This window comes from Homo sapiens, chromosome 10, assembly GCF_000001405.40.
Source record: "Homo sapiens chromosome 10, GRCh38.p14 Primary Assembly".
Taxonomy (NCBI): Eukaryota; Metazoa; Chordata; class Mammalia; order Primates; family Hominidae; genus Homo; species Homo sapiens.
In genome coordinates, this window is record NC_000010.11 from 132792560 (window position 1) to 132813071 (window position 20512).

At 61.1% G+C, this 20512-nt stretch overlaps 1 protein-coding gene across 8 annotated transcripts in view, besides 2 other annotated features; it reads right to left on the reverse strand.

Annotated features, from left to right (window-relative positions):
- Nucleotides 12736–13237: an enhancer, noted in NCBI's record as "H3K4me1 hESC enhancer chr10:134618799-134619300 (GRCh37/hg19 assembly coordinates)". NCBI's record gives its function as "activates a minimal SCP1, AML or CMV promoter by ChIP-STARR-seq in primed H9 embryonic stem cells {active_cell/tissue: H9 hESC(primed)}" and the evidence as "EXISTENCE:reporter gene assay evidence [ECO:0000049][PMID:30033119]".
- Nucleotides 15578–16551: an enhancer, noted in NCBI's record as "H3K27ac-H3K4me1 hESC enhancer chr10:134621641-134622614 (GRCh37/hg19 assembly coordinates)". NCBI's record gives its function as "activates a minimal SCP1, AML or CMV promoter by ChIP-STARR-seq in naive and primed H9 embryonic stem cells {active_cell/tissue: H9 hESC(naive and primed)}" and the evidence as "EXISTENCE:reporter gene assay evidence [ECO:0000049][PMID:30033119]".
- CFAP46 (cilia and flagella associated protein 46) overlaps nt 15833–20512 on the reverse strand; it is a 134179-nt gene continuing 129499 nt past the window's right edge. For 2 of the 8 annotated variants that reach the window (NM_001200049.3, XM_047425388.1), the window contains exons 55-58: nt 20226–20338; nt 18391–18472; nt 17850–17930; nt 15833–16345 (exon numbers count right to left, since the gene is read on the reverse strand). In NM_001200049.3, coding sequence (NP_001186978.2) covers nt 15862–16345; nt 17850–17930; nt 18391–18472; nt 20226–20338 — 760 coding nt within the window. In that variant the 3' untranslated portion in view covers nt 15833–15861. Of the gene's footprint in view, nt 16346–17849; nt 17931–18025; nt 18163–18369; nt 18509–20225; nt 20339–20512 lie in introns of those variants that run through there. The other 6 variants (XM_047425387.1, XM_047425386.1, XM_047425390.1 and 3 more) reach the window with 5 other exon arrangements.

Genomic DNA, 20512 nt, shown 5'->3' on the forward strand with positions numbered 1-20512 from the left:
GGTACAGCATCTACACTGGGTCCGGGAACCGTGTGGGGGTGCAGCGTCTACACTGGGTCCGGGAACCGTGTGGGTGCAGCGTCTACACTGGGTCCGGGAACCGTGTGCGTGCAGCGTCTACACTGGGTCCGGGAACTGTGTGGGGGTGCAGCGTCTACACTGGGTCCGGGAACCGTATGGGTACAGCGTCTACACTGGGTCCGGGAACCGTGTGGGTGCAGCGTCTACACCGGGCAGGCTGCTTCTCTTCTCCCTGGTGGTCGTGCTTTGGGGACGCGTCCCTGGGACCCCTGGCTGCTGGGAGCTGCCCCGTGCGAGTGCCCCGCCTTCTGCAGATGGAATCTGTCATCTTCATTCACTTCTCAGGTGAAGTTCTTAAAAGGGTGGCACGGCCCAAGCTCCTTGGTCCCCAGCGGAGCTGCCCCATCTGTTGGCACCGCTCAGGTTTCTGGCCATGTGACTTCGGCCCTGACGCCCGCCTGCGTTGCCCCCCGCCTCCAGGCTACAGGTGCAGCTAGTTTTCCTCCCTGTCTGTTGCTCATTTTTCTTCCTCTACTTCCAGGCCCATCCTCGGGAACCCCCTGGGTCCGCGGCCCTGGTGGGTGACAGACACCTCTAGGGCCCTCTTGGCTCCCTGCCGGGCACTGAGGACCCCACATCTGTACCACCAACCGGGGTGCACTGCCCGGAACCTCCCTGTCTTCACATGGGTGTCCCACAGCCCCTGAGGGAACAGCGCCACCTCTCCTCCCGGGTCCTGCATGGCCCCTGGGACAAGGACACCAGATGCCCACACCTGGAGGAGCTCACTGGAGCCCACAGCTGGTGAGCGGCCCTCCAAGGGGGCCTCTGCCACTGGAGGGCGTCTCCATGGAGCAGCTGGGCGCAGCTCTCCTGCCTCTGGAGGCACCTGGCCCTCAGCTGGAGACCTTTGGCCGCCTTGGCCCCCACAATACCCAACAAGCTGGGCCAGAAAGGGCTCTTCGCCCCTGCAGTGGCCAGCACACAGTTGCTGTGGGCTCTGGCTGGGGAGGCCCTGGGGCAACAGCATCCCTTGAGGACATCAGAGCCCATGCAGGAAGCCACCCTCCCACCTGTGTGACCTGTGGACACAGAGGCCGGGCTGGGGGTGACTAAGTCCCCCTCGATCACTGGAGGAGACTCCCCAGGAGCAGGTGGGCCACTGAGGCTGCCGAAGCGGAGGGGCCACGCCGTCGGTGGGACAGCGGCGCATCTCCTCAGAAACCCTCTTCTCTGGGGTCCAAAGAATCTTGTCTCCTTCAGGAAAGGACAAGGAGACGTGGCTGTAAATCACGCCCAGAGCTAATTCCCCAGGGCTCTGGGGCACCAGATGTGCAGCCGGCGTAATGAGCTCTCTCCTGGGGCCTCTCGGGTGTCTGGCCACGTGGCGCACGCGCTAATTGAGTGCTGAGCCCTTGGAGATTTGTGTCAGGAGCCTGCTCCGGCGCCTTGGCTGTGATCCGAGGATGAGATGGGACCGGCACCGGCCAAGGGGGGGCTTCCGGAGAGGCTCGCTCCTGGCGCCACTCCAGGCTGGGCCACGGCGCTGTGTGGGGGCTTCCAGGGGGGTGAGGGCCCCCGGGCGGGCGACGGGTCGTGTGGTGCCACAGCCAGTGCCTCCCCACAATGGGCGCCCCCTGCTGATGGGCACCTCCCGACAATGGCGCCTCCCAGTGATGGACGCCTCCACAGGTCCTCGGGGCCCCTTCCCGTCCAGGTCTTCACAGAGGCCCCGGCACTGGGTGCCCAGTGGCCTCGGCAGCCGTGTCTGCGTGACAGAAGCCGAGCGTGGGACGGCTCCAGCTCAGGACTGTCTGAGCCCCACCCTGCGAGGGTGCTCTGAGCTCTCAGGGCGTTGCTTCTTTGCCCATTTATCCCGGGTCTTGGGTGAGTTCCAGTGGCGGACAGAGCTCAGACAAGAGCAGTGCTCGCAGCAGCGCCAGCAGGGACAGTGGCAATACGAGGGTCACAGGTGTGATCGGAGGCCGCCAGCCTGTGCTGGGTCACCGTGCGGTGCCAGTGAAGGTGCCCTCTGCCCAGGAGCTGTGGGGGAGCCGGGGGTGCCGCCAGGACGCAGTGTGGGTCGCTGGGAAGACCCGAAAGAGGGGAGGAAGCTGCCAGTCATGGGGGACGGCAGAGGTGGCTGTTTCTCCCGGCAGCAGAAGTCCACCCCAGGGCCTCACCGGGGGGGGGTGGGGGGGCACACGGGCAGGCACGAGTGTGTGAGGAGAAAATGGTCTCTCTGGTTGGGGAGCCCAGGGCAGGGCCCCCACAAGATGGTTTCAGATGAGAGTGAAGGAGTCACCCGCCGTTCCCCGGGTGTCCAGGCTCGGGAGGGCCTCGTCTCCAGAGCCTTCACGCCGGCATCACGTGTGAGAGCGTTTATCCAGGACGGGACACTTGTCCTGGGGCATCCCCTGCATGGGGAATGGCCTCTGACTTTTGGGGAACGCAGCCGCCGTGTGAGGCCCCCTGGCCGAGCTGCCCCTCCCCGGCCATTCCACCTGAGTCAGCTTAACAGAAACACCATCTGTGATTGGAGTGTTGCCCCCCAGCCTCCTCTTCCAGCCGAGGGGCGCTCCCCTCGGAAACGGGGTCTTGTCTGGCCTGGGAGTTGGAGGCAGGTCTGGGGCCTGAGGCCTTGAGGCTTCGGGTGAGTCAGTGTCTCCAGGGCAGGGCTGGGGAGGAGAGCCACTGCCCTGGGTCCTAGTCTGGGCACGTGCCCTGAGGCTGGGTGGCTCGCAGCTCTCCCACCACAGTTGGGTCTGGCACCCCCTGCCTGGAGTCGCAGGTCCCTGACCTACAGCCTGAGGCTGCCCACACAGCCGTCCTAGAGGGGTCACGGCCTTCCCAGTTATGGTTGTTTCTGGAAATGCTTCAGGCCCTGGAGTCAACGGGAGCCCAACAGGAAGACAGGACTAGTGGGGAGGGGTGGGGGCTGGCGGGATTGTGGGGGGCCAGCAGGGAGGGGTGGGAGCTGACGGAGTTGTGGGGGGCCAGTGGAGGCAGTCAGGGGGTCAGGGAGGGCAGGGGGGACTGATGGGGCGGGGACATGGGAGGTGGGGAAGATGCCCGGTCCCTCTCGGCCTCTGCCATCCCTGGCTGAGTTGAATTCAATTAATCTAAATTAATCCACTTTTCCCAGCGACGCTGCGCCTCCCTGCCCAGACAACAGTACTTGCTCGGCTTCTCCCAGGAGCACTGAACCTGCCCTCCCAGGTGCAAAGGGCTCCCGGCGCCCGGATTTCACGTTCCCCCGGGAGATGGGGGTGCCCACTCAGGGAGAGGACACAGGAGGAGGTGTGCATGGGCCACATCCCAGGGTCAGTCCCCCAGGGAGGTGGATCACTTGAGGTCAGGAGTTCAAGACCAGCCTGGCCAACATGGCGAAACCCCGTCTCTACTAAAAATACAAAAGTTAGCCAGGCATGGTGGCACATGCCTGTAATCCCAGCTACTAGGGAGGCTGAGGCAGGAGAACTGCTTGAACCAGGGAGTCGGAGGTTGCAGTGAGCTGGTATGGTGCCATTGCACTCCAGCCTGGATGACAGAGTGAGACTCCGTCTCAAAAAATAATAATAATAAATAAACAAACAGATCTGTGTCATTTCATCGTTAACTGTGTAAGCATGCACCAGAAAAGCCCAGAGGAGCCTCTGGGCACCAAACCTGTGGGCGCCCCGGAGGGAGGAGCAGGCTCACCCTGCATCTTCATTGTATTATCTGCTGTGCTTCGTGTTTTGTTTTGTTTTGTTTTTTTCCTGTGAACATGTCTTATTTTTATTCATAAAAAACAACAAACACACAATTTAGGAAATGTGTCACAGGCAGCTCGCCTCGTCAGACAGAGCAGGTGCTGCCTGAGGTCCTGGAAGTCCTGGGACCAACCCTCAGGCACAGTGGGTTCCGGAAGCTTCCCTTGATGCTGAAGACGTTGAGTTCAGGGGGCTTTGAGCTTGTTCCCAGCACTCTCAGGGGTCACATGGTTTGACCAGGTTCGGACCAGGTTCGAAGTCACAGCCAGACACTGCCCATGATGGCAGTGGAGGCCACACCGCACTAGGACGTCGGGTCACCCCAGCAGGCTTCTGGTCCCCAAATAAGAACACCTGGAATCCTTTCCATAAACCCAGGGCTCCTACGAGTGACCATTTCACTCCTGAGGTTTGCTCGGGGGATGCCTGGAGATTTGAGGTAACTTCTGAGCCACCTGGTGCGGCGGCAGCGTCTCTAGCTAAATGAAGAGACGCAGCCTTGGCAGCACGGCAGGTGGTTTTTCTCCCGTTGGCGTCCGCTGTGCTTTGTTGGGCGGGCCGGCCCTTCTCAAGGCTGCTCCCTCGCACTCTGCAGGTAAACCTTTCTGTTCTTTCCACCCGCCAGAGTCTGAGCCGTGGTGACAGTTAATTCCTGGGGCTCCGCAGGGAGCTTGCCTGGGTCCTTCCCTGGGAGCCGTCAAGCATGAACCTGGATGTGCCTGGCCTGGTCCCGGGCCCTCAGCCTCCCAACGCCCCTGCGCCCGTTCTCACTGGCACGGCTCAGTGTCCACACCGGGCCAGCAGCGCAGGAACTGGAGGCTCTGCTTCGTGATTTCCGCAGTGGCAGATGACAGGAATCAGGTTCCTGCGGGTGGCAGCGGATGGGGGTGCAGAACTGCCTTTTTGCTGTTTGCCTGTTTACCCTCTTTGTGCCCGCGCCAAGGTGGGAGCCGCTACACCCAGGGAGGCGCTGGAGCGTGTGCGGAGGTCAGAGCCTGATGCCGCCTCGGTCTCTGGGTGCCGGGGCAGCCATTCCTTCAAACAATGGGGTGCTTCCAAACCGGTGCCTCGTGAGGAATTGGGAAAGACAGGAGATTGTCATCATCACGAGAGACAAAACCCTATCCTGCTAAATTCGAGGGAAGCCTAAGATTGCGCAGGTTTTTCATAATGATCCTTCCACAGAGGACTCCCCGATGCTTCACCGCATGTCACTGCTACTGCCACGGTCAGCATTCCCGCAGGACTGCGCCGTCCGCCTCGAATTCGGGGGTCTCGCGAAGCTGCTAAAACGGTGTGTTTTATGAATAGGAAATATTTCTTTCATCAAGCTCGTTAATATAACTTTACCTTTGGGGAGAGTGAAACATGATAAATAAACTCTGTTAACATTTATTTGGTGTGAGGTTTTTTTTCCATTTGGCTTTTAGAAATGATATTAATGATTTTTTATATTCAGGTAAAGTAAGAAAAGTTTAAAAATTTAAAAAATACTCCTTGTACCGTAGGTTTGTTGCTGGCTCTGGGTTTTTTTTTTTTTTCTTACTTGGTCACTAGGTTATAAGATAAGAAGGAAAAACGGACTTTTAAACAAACTTGAGAGTTTCGATACCTGTATGTCATTGTTAAGAAAAAAGCTCATGTAGTATTTTTAATCAAGACGACTCTTTGGACACATTGCACTGGTTGAATAATTCTGGTTTAACATGGCTCCGCGTCTCCTCTCCCCGTGTCTCTCCGGCGTGCGGTTCGGGTCTGCCTGGCCTTGGATTATTTTTTCTTCCACGGCCCTTCCTGCCTCCCCCAGCGTTCTCCACCGCTGTGACGTGACACAACAGTCCCGTTAGGAGACGTGTTTCGCGGTGTGACCCGCAGGTGGGCCGAGGCGGCTGGGCTGGACGGTGTGATCCTGAGGTGGGCCGAGGCGGCTGGGCTGGACGGTGTGACCCGGAGGTGGGCCGAGGCTGGACGAGGTGCCCCAGAGGTGGGCCGAGGCGGCTGGGCTGGACGGTGTGATCCTGAGGTGGGCCGAGGCGGCTGGGCTGGACGGTGTGACCCGGAGGTGGGCCGAGGCGGCTGGGCTGGACGGTGTGATCCTGAGGTGGGCCGAGGCTGGACGAGGTGCCCCAGAGGTGGGCCGAGGCAGCTGGGCTGGACGGTGTGGCCCTGAGGTGGGCCGAGGCAGCTGGATGAGGTGGGGACTGAAATCAGGCCGCAGTCTCGTGGCCCGAGGCCTCACACGTGCTGCCCTGATGTATGGGATTCCAGGGTGGGTACATCTAGGAGGAAGCCTGGGGTCACAGTGGCTCACAAGCCGTATGGGGATGGGCGGAGTAGGGCGTGTGGGGCTGTGGAGTTCAAGCGTGTGGGGATGGGCTGAGTGGGGCGTGTGTGGCTGTGGAGTTCATTGCAGGACCCGGCTTGGAAGGACCAGGGCCGTTTCGTGTTGGGCCCTGGTTGCTCCGGGGTTTTGCTCAGTGAGGTAGGAGAAGGGGCCTGGGAAGAAGTTGCCGTCCTCTGTGGCGGGAGAAGGGGAGGCTTCTGGCTGTTCAGGGGAGCTGTAGACCCGTTACTGCCATGGCCCTCGAGCACACCCCGTGGTGAGGCTCTGGGACAGGGCCTGTGTGGGGTGTGGGGAGTGCCGGGCTGTGGGGCCTCCTTGGAAGAGGCAACCCCAACACAGACGCCAGTGGGGAAGCGGCTCCACAGCTTCCTTGCCAGACCCTCAGGCCACACGGCCACCTGGACGCACTGTCCCACAGCACAGGCGGGCAGGGGGTGCCCAGACCCAGTAAACCCCTTTGGCCAAGGCCGGCGCTGGGATTCCAGCCCAAGTGATGTGGCTTGGTGCTCATAGGAGAGGAGAGAAGGGAAGGTGGTGCCCAGTGTAGGCCCGCACCTGAGCCCAGGACACCGCACCTGTGCCCGGGACACCGCACCTGAGCCCGGGACACCGCGCCTGAGCCAGGGACACCGCGCCTGAGCCCGGGACACCTCGCCTGAGCCCGGGACACCGCGCCTGAGCCCGGGACACCGCGCCTGTGCCCGGGACACCTCGCCTGAGCCCGGGACACCGCGCCTGAGCCCGGGACACCGCGCCTGTGCCCGGGACACCTCGCCTGAGCCCGGGACACCGCGCCTGAGCCCGGGACACCGCGCCTGTGCCCGGGACACCTCGCCTGAGCCCGGGACACCGCGCCTGAGCCCGGGACACCGCGCCTGAGCCAGGGAAACCTCACCTGAGCCCGGGACACCGCGCCTGTGCCCGGGACACCGCGCCTGAGCCCGGGACACCGCGCCTGAGCCAGGGAAACCTCACCTGAGCCTGGGACACCTCGCCTGAGCCTGGTGTATTAGTGTGTTTTTATGCTGCTATAAAAAACTGCCCAAGACTGGGTAATGTATAAAGAAAAGAGGCTTAACTGACTCACGGTTCTGTGTGGCTGGGGAGGCCTCAGGAAACTCACAGTCACGGTGGCAGAGGGGACTCCTCTGGGTGGCTCAAGGGCCATCTGGGGGAGTTGGCTGGAAACTGGAGGGGCCCCTCTCCCTGGACTGCCCAGCCCTGGCCAGCCTGTGGGGTGTGCAGTGAGGTGCTGACTGATTGAGAGGCACACACTCCCCAGAGCCCTGTTTGGAGGTGCCCGTCTTCCACCTGGGTGGGCCACAGGCTCGGGACACAGAGCCTGGCCTTGCAATGTCACACACCCCCGCGGCACCTGGCCTTCCTGGGGCATTGAGGGGCAAGTGACTCGGGACCGGCTGCAGGGCCTGGGTGGGGCCCCAGCTTTCCCCCAGCCTCTGGCCTTGGGGCCCCCAGCACAGGGCCAGCCAGGCTGAGGTTGTACTTCGTGTCTGGAATTGGTGGGTTCTTGGTCTCACTGACTTCAAGAATGAAGCCGCGGACCCTCGCGGTGAGTGTTACAGCTCTTAAGGCGGCGTGTCCGGAGTTTGTCCCTTCTGATGTTCAGATGTGTTCGGAGTTTCTTCCTCCCGGTGGGTTCGTGGTCTCGCTGGCTCAGGAGTGAAGCTGCAGATCTTCGCGGTGAGTGTTACAGCTCATAAAGGCAGTGTGGATCCAGAGAGTGAGCAGTAGCAAGATTTATTGCAAAGAGCGAAAGAACAAAGCTTCCACAGTGTGGAAGGGGACCCGAGTGGGTTGCCACTGCTGGCTCGGGCAGCTTGCTTTTATTCTCTTATCTGGCCCCACCCACGTCCTGCTGATTGGTAGAGCCTAATGGTCTGTTTTGACAGGGCACTGATTGGTGTGTTTACAATCCCTGAGCTAGACACAAAGGTTCTGCACGTCCCCACCAGATTAGCTAGATACAGAGTGTGGACACAAATGTTCTCCAAGGCCCCACCAGAGTAGCTAGATACAGAGTGTCCATTGGTGCACTCACAACCCTGAGCTAGACACAGGGTGTTGATTGGTGTGTTTATAAACCTAGCTAGATACAGAGTGCCAATTGGTGTATTTACAATCCCTGAGCTAGACATAAAGGTTCTCCACGTCCCCACCAGACTCAGGAGCCCAGCTGGCTTCACACGGTGGATCCCGCACTGGGGCTGCAGGTGGAGCTGCCTGCCAGTCCCGCGCTGTGCGCCCGCACTCCTCAGCCCTTGGGTGGTCGATGGGACTGGGCGCCCTGGAGCAGGGGGCGGAGCTCGTCGGGGAGGCTCCGGCCGCACAGGAGCCCACGGAGCGGGTGGGAGGCTCAGGCATGGCGGGCTGCAGGTTCCGAGCCCTGCCCCTCGGGAAGGCAGCTAAGGCCCAGCGAGAAATCGAGTGCAGCGCCGGTGGGTGGGCACTGCTGGGGGACCCAGTACACCCTCCGCAGCTGCTGGCCCGGGTGCTAAGCCCCTCATTGCACAGGGCCGGCCGGCTGCTCGGAGTGCGGGGCCCGCCAAGCCCACGCCCACCCGGAAATCCAGCTGGCCCGCAAGCGCCACGCGCAGCCCCGGTTCCCGCTGGCGCCTCTCCCTCCACACCTCCCTACAAGCTGAGGGAGTCGGCTCTGGCCTTGGCCAGCCCAGAAAGGGGCTCCCACAGTGCAGCGGTGGGCTGAAGGGCTCCTCCAGTGCCGCCAAAGTGGGAGCCCAGGCAGAGCAGGCGCCGAGAGCGAGCGAGGGCTGTGAGGACTGCCAGCACGCTGTCACCTCTCATTCGGACATCAGAGACCCTGGACTTGGGGTAGCTGTGCAGGCCCCACGTGGCAGGTGGCTGGGGCTCTCCGAGGTGGGGGCGGGGACATCTGAGATGGGGGTGGGGACGTCTCTCCACCATGGGGATGCAGACACCCCTGCCGGGTTCTTCTTTCCACATTCATGGCTCTGCTATGGCTGGGCCCTTCAGCCTCCCCAGGGAAGCTGTGTAACCAGAACAGAACCCGTGTTTCCTCTTGCTGGGCCATCCCCTCTGCAGCCTTGCTCACGTGGGCTGGTCCTCTGTCCACAGTCCTCCTCGTTCCTCTCCCCACCGCCTGGCCTCTTGCCTGGGTTGGAATTCCTCGATGAGCAGGACAGAGCAGCCTTGGGAACCACACCTGTCAACCCTGGAAGTGATTATGGGACCATAGCAGCCTGGGGCAGCAGGCCCAGGCCCCACCCTCGAAGCCCATGCAGACCTGCTCTCAAGGACTCTGCCTTGGAGGGGGAAACACGACTCTGGGACCCCTGCCCCCATGCGTGGTCCATATGGTCCTATGGTCCCACCGCGTCCACGGGATCAGGTTCTCTGGTGAGAACTAAACCAGGGGCAATGCTGTTGCTCGCTCATGTTTATGGAGTCCAAGGCGAGCTAGTCAGGACAGGAAGCTTCTGACCCCAAGAGCACTGAGGACCCAGGCTCCTCGCAACTGTGGCTGTGCCATCCTCAACATGTAGATTTCACCTCATAGCACATTATGGCTGCCAAGCTCCAGCCATCAAATTCCATCCCATCCTGCAGACAGGAAGGAAAAAGAGCAAGCCTTTCCTTTTATGGAGGTGTCTTGAACCAGAACTTAGTCAAATGGCCACACGTGTTGCAAGGGAGGCTGGCTGTGCACCTGGCCAGGAATGGGGGGTCTATTTCTTTTCCTTTTTTTTTTTTTTTTTGAGACGGAGTCTCCCTCTGTTGCCAGGCTGGAATGCAGTGGCAAGATCTAGGCTCACTGCAACCTCCACCTCCCAGGTTCCAGCGAGTCTCCTGCCTCAGCTTCTGCAGTAGCTGGGACTACATGTGCATGCCACCATGCCCAGCTGATTTTTGTATTTTTAGTAGAGGCCAGGTTTCACCATGTTGGCCAGGATGGTCTCGATCTCTTGACCTCGTGATCTGCCCACCTCGGCCTCCCAAAGTGCTGGGATTACAGGTGTGAGATTTCTAAGGGACACTGGGAGGCTGGCCGCACACCCGGCCAGGAATTGGGGGTCTGTTACTAAGGGACCCTGGTTCTCTGACTCCCTCCCATTTCTTCAGTCAGCAAGAACGGGGCCCAGGGAGAGAGGCACAGGGTTCTGGGAAGTCTCAGGCCCTGTCCCTGCAGGGCTGGGGCTCAGCGATGCGGAGAAGGGAGGGGAGCGACCCCTACAGCCCAAAGAGCAAAGCTACTTGTGATGGGACCGCTGCCCTCCCTTCTGAGTGAGTCCTGTGGTCTCAAGCCCCGGGGCTCTTCCTCTCCTAGGGCCTGATATTGGTGGGGGGGGGGGCTGCCTCACCCCATTGTAGGTCAGCCGGTATTTAGGAGCTGCCTCACCCCATCGTGGGTATTTAGGAGCTGCCTCACCCCGTCGTGGGTCAGCCGGTATTTAGGGGCCGAGGTCTCCAAGCTCCTCAAAGGTGGCAAGACATTCTGGGGCTGGGATTCCCAGAAAAAACCCTTCTCAAGCCCCTTGAAAGGCCCCCAGGACAGCCCTGAGTCCAGCCTTCTGTCCTGAGGGTTGTGGGGTGCAGGCTCCGCGGGGGCTCCAGCTGCAGCTCCACAGGGGTTGGTTCTAGGCCTCAAGAGCCTCCTTCCAAAGACGAGGTCTCCTGGGGTCAGGGGTTATAGGGACCCCCCCTGGTCTCTGCCCAGGCTGTTGAGCACCCCAAGTCCCTCCAGCACCCCAACCCTAGCCAGGCTGGACTCAGGGCAGGGCCAGAAAGACAGGCAGGTCTGCAGCAGGCGGAGCTCAGCTGCGTCCCCATTATCTTAACGCATCTCTTGCCTCTTGTCACAAAGAATTAAAATCCGTAATAAGAACATTTAAGAGCTCTTCATAATTGTGTGGCCATTAGCCGACTGCACGGGGTGTCAATCTAGCCATCTCGCTCCGGTCCCAATGAATTGTGATAAAAATGTCAAACAATTAGATTATCTTGGCCACTAGCACGGTGATGAGTAGCCAGGCGTGTCCCTCGAGTCACCCTAACAGCGGGAGCTGCTCCGCGCCATGCTAAAGCCACTCCAGGACAGCAGGACGGGCCGATGGGGGTCAGCGTGTCGGCCCAGCATGCGGGGTCATCCCAGGAACCCACGTCCCAGCCCCTTGGAGCCCAGCTGGAGAGACTGTGGGGCCAGAGGGAGGTGTGGGAGAGGGGCAGGGGAGGGTAACCCCTGGGAACAGGACAGAGGTGGGGGATCCAGGCCCCTCGGAGGGTGCAGAGCCCTGAGCTCAGCAAGGAGGGGCAGGGAGCTCCCAGGGCCCAGCCCTGTGCTTGGGAAAGGAGCCGGGAGGGGGATGGGCAACTGAGCGGCCCCAGGGCCTCAGGTCCACCCCCTTGGCCGGGTCCCCTCGGCCCCGTCCCCATGGCCCCGTCCCCTCGGCCCCATCCCCTCGGCCCTGTCCCCACGTCCCTGTCCCCTCGGCCCTGTCCCCACGGCCCTGTCCCCTCGGCCCTGTCCCCACGTCCCTGTCCCCACGTCCCTGTCCCCTCGGCCCTGTCCCCACGGCCCTGTCCCCTCGGCCCTGTCCCCTCGGCCCTGTCCCCTCACAGGGCTCTCGCTCCACTTGCCCTTCCCAGGAACCACGGCTGCCTTTTTTTCTTACGGGTGAAGACGTATTGGAAATTGATTTCTGTGTTGGAAATGGGATAATTAAACTGGTTGTTTCCATCTTCATCATTGTCATCATAAAACGAGGACAGCCGGGTGAGGCTGGCGTGAGGTGACACCCACGTCTCGCGCAAGGGGGCATTAATTGAATACGAATGGCCTCTCCTGAAGTTGCTGAGTTATATTTCAGAGATATGGGATAATGATGCCATTTAATCATTTTTACAAGATATAAAATTACTGGCTCCTCTGGGAAGATCATTAAGGAAAACAATTGTTCACAGCAATTGGAGATAGAGTTTTAATTATTTAACACAGAAATTAAACTATTAGAGAGACCAGTGTTGGATGAGGCAACTTACTAGAAATTTATATACAAGCGTCTGTGAACATTTTAGTTTTATTAACCCGCCTAATTCCTTCATCCAAATCCGTCTGAAAGGCCTCTTGGCTGTGCCTGTGAGTGGCGGCCCAGAGCCCCTGTGTTTCCAGAGAGGACGGCCAGGGCGTGGCTCAAGGGACATCCCGAGGGTACCCAGGCCGGGCCCTCAGGCTGCAGGGGAGGGGCTGAGCTGCCAAAGAAGGGAGAGGCGGGGGCGGGGTAGGGGCCTACAGGGGCTGCGAGGTGCACCTGGGGATTACAAGAGGGACGACTGCAGGGTGCTGGCCACGCCCTTTGACCTTCCCACAGCCTTTTGGGTGGGAACTTTGGGGACCTACCTTCCAGGCCACATGTGTGTGACCCCAGTGAGTATGGGACGGGGGGCATTGGCTGTGCCCAGGCCCCCCCAGCCCACTCTGCTGTGGCCCAGACCTGATGGGGCCCTGTCGCCCCACCCTGTCCAGAGAGGCCACCTCCACCGGTGCAGTGAGGGGCTGAGGCTGCGTTCCAGAGCCCGGGCTGCCGGGAACTCACACTCTTTAGAGGGTCCTTGCCAGGTGCCTGTCGCAGGGTAAGGGGAGCTTTAAACGGGACTTGGACGTGACCACCTCCAAATGGGGAAGCTGGGAAAGTTACTGGAGACACAGCACGAGCTTCGCCATGCAGGAACGGAGGCTGATGGGAGCCAGAAAGGATCCCTAAACATTGCTGTCTGGTGTGGCTTTGGGTGAAAAACCCTCATTCTAAATGTGTAAAAATTTTCAATCTGTAAACTAATAAATGGACATTTTTAGATGGTGGAAGAACTGAGGGCACCAGATTGGACAGCTTGTTGGGGGTGCCCCTCCACCACCTGGGACCCGAGCAGGACGAGGCCTCGTGGGAGGGAAGCGCCGGGGCTGGAGGGAAGTCACCTCCCCCAGCACGCAGTCAGGAAGCTGGGGGGCAGCCCCCAGCCGGGGCACAGCAAGCCTCACCTCATGCTCCCCCGAAGGCCCAGGCCAGGTTTCCAGCTGCTTTCTGGGGAGAAGACGGGGCTGCTGAGTGTGTGGCCTGGGGCTTGGGCTGACCCTGTCACTACCCAAGCGGGGACAGCAGTGCAGGAGCGTCCCTGCCTCCCCTGGTCCCAGGGGCCCTCTGACATCCGAGAGGCCCGGGCTGGGGACCCGCTGGCCGGGGGAGCGTCTCCTGGAAGTCCCGTCCCCCACCGACCTGCATGGTTTCTGCGCTCGGGACTTGCAGGCTGAGGGCCAAGCACCGCGAGACCACCCTCTGTCCCCCATTATCTCCAATAAATTCCAAGGCATCTGCTCTTGCCTTATAGTTTTTAGGGTTACATAAATTTCACCTATGCAATTTTTTTATGCTTGAATATATTACAGAATGCCACTTCTGTTATGGAAGCTAATTGATAATGTGATTTGTTATGTTGCCGGGACATAATTCAGAAAGTTATTTTAAAGCCTGTGATGCATGGAACGGCACTCACCGTTTAATATTTCTCACATGTGTGGACACAGCGTAGGGTAAAAAATGTGGTGCTGTGTGGATGAAATATTTCCAGAAGCTTTTATTCTTGTTGTTTGGGTGAGCGCCAGCGGCTCCATAGAAGGAAGCCCATATTTCCAGCGCAGCTCTGATTTGAATTTATTTCCTGGTCATTAGTTAGCTTTTTTTTTTTCCTAAACTGAAATAAGCATGTGTATATATTTGAAAAAAGAAAAATCAAACAAAAGAGGGGAATCACACATAACCTTTCAATATTATCAAAGATGTGCATTTGAAATTTTTATGTCAAATTAATTATAGATTCACAGGAAGTTGCAAAAACAGTACACGGCGCAGCGGGTCCGCTCCCCGGCCTTCCCCAGCGGTGACCGCACAGCTGCAGCCAATGGCAAAGCTGGGAAATGAGACTGGTTCAAGCTCTCGGTGAACTGCGGGTGCCGTGGTTCCTTTCTCAGGTAGGGATTGGCGTTGCAGCCACCGTCGAGACACACAACTGGTGTGTCAGCAGCGGGCCCCCGTGCCAGGCACGCTAACTGTGCAGTGCTGGAGCTCTGCCGCCTTGAGATGCTCTGCAAGCCGCACCCTGCGGTGTGTGAAGCTTCTGATGCTGGCTTTGTCCTCAGCCCAACTCCTGGAGGTCTGTCCGGGCCGGAGCCACCGTTCTCTGCTTCTGTTGCTTGGCAGCATTAACCCCAAGTGGACAGAGCGGAGTTTGACCATTTGCTTGTGGACGGACACAGGGTTGCTGTAAACACTCGTGTGTGCGTTTGTGTGAAGGTGCATTTCCCGCCCTCTGGGCTAAACGCCTAAAAGTGCAATTGCTGGGTTGTGGCTTTGTAAGAATCAGGTCAACTGTTTTCCAAAGAGGCTGCACCACAACGTGTGAGAGGCCGTTTCCTGGTGTCCTCACCAGCATTTGATGTTATCTTTATTCTTTTTAAAATTCCAGCTATGGGACTAGGTACGTAGACCTTTTTTTATTTTTGAGACAGAGTCTCGCTCTGTCGCCCAGGCTGGAGTGCAGTGGTGCCATCTCAGCTCAGTGCAGCCGCCGCCTCCCGGGTTCAAGTGATTCTCCTGTCTCAGCCTCCCGAGTAGCTGGGACGACAGGTGCGTGCCACTGTGTGCGGCTAATTTTTGTATTTTTAGTAGAGACGGGGCATCACCATGTTGACCAGGATGGTCTTGATCTATTGACCTTGTGATCCGCCCGCCTCAGCCTCCCAAAGTGCTGGGATTACAGGCGTGAGCCACCGCGCCTGGCCCATAGACCTATTTTGGACAATTTTGGGGCCACCTGTCCTGACCCAGCTGTCTGGGCTCTCGTCGGCCTGGCGTCAGTGCCCGGCAGGAGTTGGGTGGGTGCCGAGCCGGGCGAGTGGGCTCCATGGGTGCAGCGTGGCGGGAACGCCTTCGGCAGACCCTTCCCTCCCTCACGGAGGGGATTCTGAGGTTGCACAGGCAGCCTTGACCTCACGTGGCTCCCGCACTGAGCTTCTGTAGGCCACGCGGGAGGGGCTGCCCTCCGGCCTTCCCATGGCGAGTCCCAGGCTGAAGAAACAGCCCCACGCGGCCCCACGCAGAGGGCGGGCAGGAGCGCTGGCGGGAACACGCGAGGCTCACGCTCTGGCCCTTTGGGGCCGTCCTGGGACTTCCCCTGTTCCTGGCCAGAGCCCGTGTGTATGGCTGGAGGGTGCGTCCCCAGAAGGCTCTGCAGGCCCCATGGTCCTCCCGTGGTCCTCCCATGGACCAATACGCCCTTTGACCCCCCCCCCAGCCCCCACTCATCCGGCCGAGTTGGGAGAGACATATCCAGAAGGTCAGAAAGGCCATCTGGAAGGCACGTCTCTTCCCCAAGGAGCCGCTGGATGCAGCAGCCCACCAGGAGTGTTCAAGGAAGAAAAGCATCACTTCACGAGAAGCTCCACGTGGTGCTTGCCGGCACAGACTCCACCACCCATGATTCTCCTTATTCTGGAAGGTTCCTTCTGAGGGGCCCTGCACGTGTGCAGGGTACGTGGCCTGTGCCAGTGTGAGCCCCACCCCCATCCCCACTCTGGAAAGCTGCTGGGTTCAGGGGGCGCATTTCTTGCGGGCCAGGAGCCCCCCACCCAGAGCCTCGAGTCACGGAAACCACTCACAGAGACTGGCTTTTGTTGTTTGTTTAGTGGAACACTCAAATCAAAAACAGGCTCACGGTCTGAATAGTCTTCTGGTCTAAGCAACTCAGCACCAGCGCCGCCAAGGGGAGGCCGCCCTTGTCCTGGCCCCGGGAAGAGACGCAGCTCCAGCCCCGACGCAGACCCCATGGCGCACACAGGCAGGCAGAGCTCGAGGTCCAGGCGGCTGCCTTGCGGGAAGTCGCTGGGGGAGGGTCCCTGGCTGAGGCTGCACCAAGGGCTGGGGAGAGGCCCAGGAAGGGGAGAGCGAGCTGGGAGCTGGGGATGGGAGCCGGGAGGTGGGGATGGGTTGGCAGAGGGGCAGAGCCAAGGGCAGAGGCAAGTGCTGGGGCCCCAGCAGCTGATGGGAGGCAGGTCCAGGCCTGCACTACCCGATGGCTTGGTGCGGCAGCCCATACAGGACCAAGTTGAGCGTGGTGGGAAGGAGCTCGGAGCTTTGGAGCAGCAGCAGCTTGTCCTTCAAGGTCTGAGAAGCCTCGTCTGTGGAGAAAGGGGCGGGAGCTATGAACCCCGAGGCCCCGCAGGACGTCCAGCCCGGTGAGGACCAGGGCACAGGGGCGGGAAGTGGCAGCTGCTCCAACTGAGGGCGCTCTGGGGAACACACTGCCATTCGCCAGGCCTCCAGGGCGCCCCCACCACCCGCACCCCTCCCGCACCGAGGTGTCCAGGCCCGCGCAGCCGGGTGACGGCACCAGGACTGGACCCCCGATCCGAAGCCCACCATCCCCCTCTACCCCTTGGCCAGGCGAGCTGCTCTGCTGGGGGGGCGCCCGTCTAGAGTGTGGCTGCGGCCTTGCAGGAAGCAGCAGCCTCTGCCCCTTTTGAACAGTGACAGTCACTGGGCTCATGCCTCCATTGCAGGGACCAGAACTTGCAGGTCATCGCTGAGCAGCAGCAGCGGGACAGCCAGCCTGGCTCTGCCCTTCCCCGATTCCCCAGCAGGGCATCGTGTGGGCCCCACACTGGCCACATCACGGCGGCATCCGTGTCTGTGCCCTGCTCTGCATTTGCAGGGATGAGTGTGGGTTCCGTCTGCCTTCCTCCTGCCCCTCGCTCCCTCTCTCCCCCAACAAGCAGGGATCCTTGGGACCGGTATCCCCGGACCGTGGACCACGTGCTCTTTACACGATAAGCTCCTGGTGAGCGGTGGATACTGAAGGCCTCTGGGGGAAGCCTTCTTAGTCAGGGCAGACCACCCCCTCCGTGCACCGCTGAGCGCCTCAACTCAGGGTCCCGGGAAGCTCCTCTGTGGCTCCTCCCCGGGGTCCCGGGAAGCTCCTTTCTGGCTCCTCCCGCCTCACCGTGGCAGGAGGGTTTTGCTGACTCTGAAGGACGGCTGGGTGGGGTTCCGTCTGTCCGTGTTTGAGAACAGACCATGTCCCGTGCCCCTTCCCGACTTTTCCCCTGTGAGGCCAAGAGAGGGACGGGCGCTGGATGCCATGTGACAGGCAGGCTGCTCTCCAGGACGCCAATGGGAGACACCCCTCAACCCATGCATTCCTCTTCCGGGAGGCCTCTTCCTGGGCTGGGACTCCTGGTCATATCAAGGGGCCGTCGGGCACTGTGGTGCAAGCTGTCGGCCCCCTAGGAGTCCTTGCTTGGGGAGGGGGCCAGGCACAGCTGCCACCTGGATTTCCCACTGGTTCCCAGACAGCCCCTGGGCTCGTGGGGATTGTGTGACTGGAGCTGTCAACGAGGAACCGTGATGCTTTCCCTCTGGGTTCTGGAGCCACGTGGCACTGTGGGCCGTCACTGCCGAGGGTCGCGCCACGGTGGGGGGCTGGGGTGGTACAGAGACGCAGGCAACTTCCAGGCAAGAACAAGCCCTCCCTCTTTCCGGCTCCTAGTTAACGTCTGGAGTCCCAGGTCCCCCACGGAGAAGCGGAGACACCTGTCCCTGCAGGGCTGTGCAGTGCACGTGCCCCATGGGCAGTGGCTGCAGAGGGTGCTGAAGGCCGCGGGGTGCAGGCCGCCCCTCCCTTACCTTGGTTCACCGCCTCGTCGCCACTCATCTTCTGAAGGAGACGCACTGTTTCTCCAATTGGCTTCCCAACGGCCAACAGATCTAGGGGAGAAACGTCCCCTCAGGAGGGCATGGACACCCTGGCAGCCTTGCTGAAGGGTTGCGGGACAGGCCCGGGATGCCAGGGGCCCACGCACTTTCCCATAAGACGCTGGCCCGCAGCGCGTTGTCCTGCAGCAGCGTCGGCCACTGGTTTGCCAGGATGCTCTTGACGCCCACCAGGCTCAGCAGGATGGCCGCCTCAACGGGCTCCTCCAGGGACAGCTGTGAGGCGCTGTGGGGACCCGGCTCCCGTGGGCTGGTGCCAGGGGCCCGGCTGAGCCGCCCCCCTCCCCATGCACAGCCACACCTCGCCAACTGCTGGAACGCATGTGCACCCTGACAGCTCTCACCGTTCTTGAAACCCGACCCCAGGTCCCTCCTCCCTTGTGGGTCCCACGCCCGTCTGTCTGACCTCTCCATCCTCAGCATCCCTGCCCACCCGTTCCAGGCAGCCAGGCACCTCCTGTGCTCCACGCTCTCCATGTGCCTCTTCAAGCTCTGGTAGGACCGCGCCAGGTCCAGCAGGACTGCCACCTGGCACTCTGCCGGGACGGGAAGGGCAGCTCAGCAGCCTTGGCCTGACATGGGGAGTGGGGATGGGGTGTGGGCAGGTGGGGCCTGTGCCCCAAGGGCGCAGCAGGGCATGGCACGCTGGCCACTCAGCTCCGGGCTCCGACCTCATGACCGTCAGGTTTTTTCCAGGGACCCCCTGGCCACAGTGGACCTCGCCAGCCTCAGGAGCCCAGACCCCTTCACAGCCTCCTCCCGGCGACTGTGCCGGGCAACAGGAAGTGGTGGGAAGCCCACCTGGGCTCCCCCAGCCTCCTCTGCCCTGGAGGGCATCTCGGCACCCCCACCATGCCTGGACACCCTGGCACCCCACATGAATGAGGTGTACGAGGTGGAGCCCTCCCCAAGGACGGAGGGACAGGCTGCTGGGGGGCAGCACTGACTGGGGGCTGATGTGAGGGGGCCACATGTCCCTGTGTAGTGGAGACATGGCAGGCTCCTGGGATGCAGGGGAGCCCCGGGCACTGGGCATGAGCTGGTCACCCTGGCCTGGGCCCTCCACGGAAGCAGGGATCGGGGGCCAGGGCAACCCTGGGCGCTGCCCACTTCCACTCGCAGCCTGGCCGTTCCCGCAGACAGGCTGTCCAGCTGCGTGAGGCCGAGGCTGCTGGGGAGTTGGGGGAGCCCTGGCGAGGCCTCTTCTACTTTACTCACTGCCTCAGTTGGAATTCAACTTTCAAAGAGGCCCATTTCTAACTCCACCTGGGATGGGCTTCCAGCACCTCTGATGGCCAAGGCCCAGGCTTGCAGAGCAGAGTGGGGGTCCTGCTTGGCCCCACCCAAGTGCAGGCCCTGGGTGCCAGGTGCCACAGGACAAGTGTCCACACACCTGCTCCGCTCCATCAACAGGGCCCACACCCCTCATGGGGGGCACAGCAACTCCCGAGTCCCTAAAAGACTCCTGTCAACCCCACACAGTGGGGCCATCAGCAGCCCCATCAGAGAAGGTCACGGCAAGTGGGCTGGCCCTGCACAGGGGGCGTCCTGGTGGGGCTGCAGCCACAGGACGTTGAGTCAGAGGGGTGGCCTCGGCACAAGGCTGAGCCACGCCTGCCTCCTGACCACTCGCCCTGCGGTGTCCGAGTGGCTGCGCCTGCTGTCTCCGTCAGCACTACCCTTGGGCCGTGGCGTGTGACAGGGTGACGTACCCCTACGTGTGTGCTGTGCTCACGCCACGCCCCCAGCCTGCCCTGCCATCCCCACCTCCTGCCAAAAGCCCCCCCTGTGCTGGAGCTGGCTGGGGTGTCACTGTGCCAAGCATGGCAGGACCACACCTGGCAGCCCCTCCACGGCTGGTGGATGGCGAAGGGGAAGGCGAGGTCCCGAGTGCCCACGATTAAACTAGAGGCCCTGAGGGAGGGGCCGTGACCAGCGCGGTCCTGAGCCCACCCCAGCCTTCCTGGGCTCCTGGGCCCAGCACTGACTCCTGCCAGGTCTGAAAAGCTGGGCTGGGTGGAGTGGGGGCACTCGGAAATGAAGGGCGGGAGGGCCAGAAGCCCCTGTGGCTGCCACGTCTGTGTGGGCCAGGCAGGGGGTGCAGGGGTGGGTAGAGGTCGTCCACCTGCAGACAGGAGGGGCCTGCAGTCACAGAGGGTGGGGGGCAGGAGGGGGCTGCGGCCACAGGGGGTGGGGGCAGCACCAGCAGGTGACAGTGGCCCTGCTCTGCCCTCAGGCGGGTTTGTCCTGTGCCCGCGGGGGAGGGGGTGCTGAGAGGACACCTCTCACCTTGCAAGTTCATGGCGACCAATCTCTCCACTAATATATGGGACAGGAAGCTCTCCATTCCATAGAAGAAGAAACCGCTGCAGCTGCCCAGGGCCTGCTCCCACTGGGCCTGGCTGCAGAGAGAGGAGAGCGCTGGTCAACAGTGCCCATGCACCTGTACCAGACCCCACCGTGCGTTCTTAAAGCAGGCCACATCCTGCGTGGTCCACGCCTGTCCCATTTGTGCATTAAACTGAACTTTCTTTCATGTTCCTAATGCCCACGCCTCCCTCCTCTGTGCTCTGATC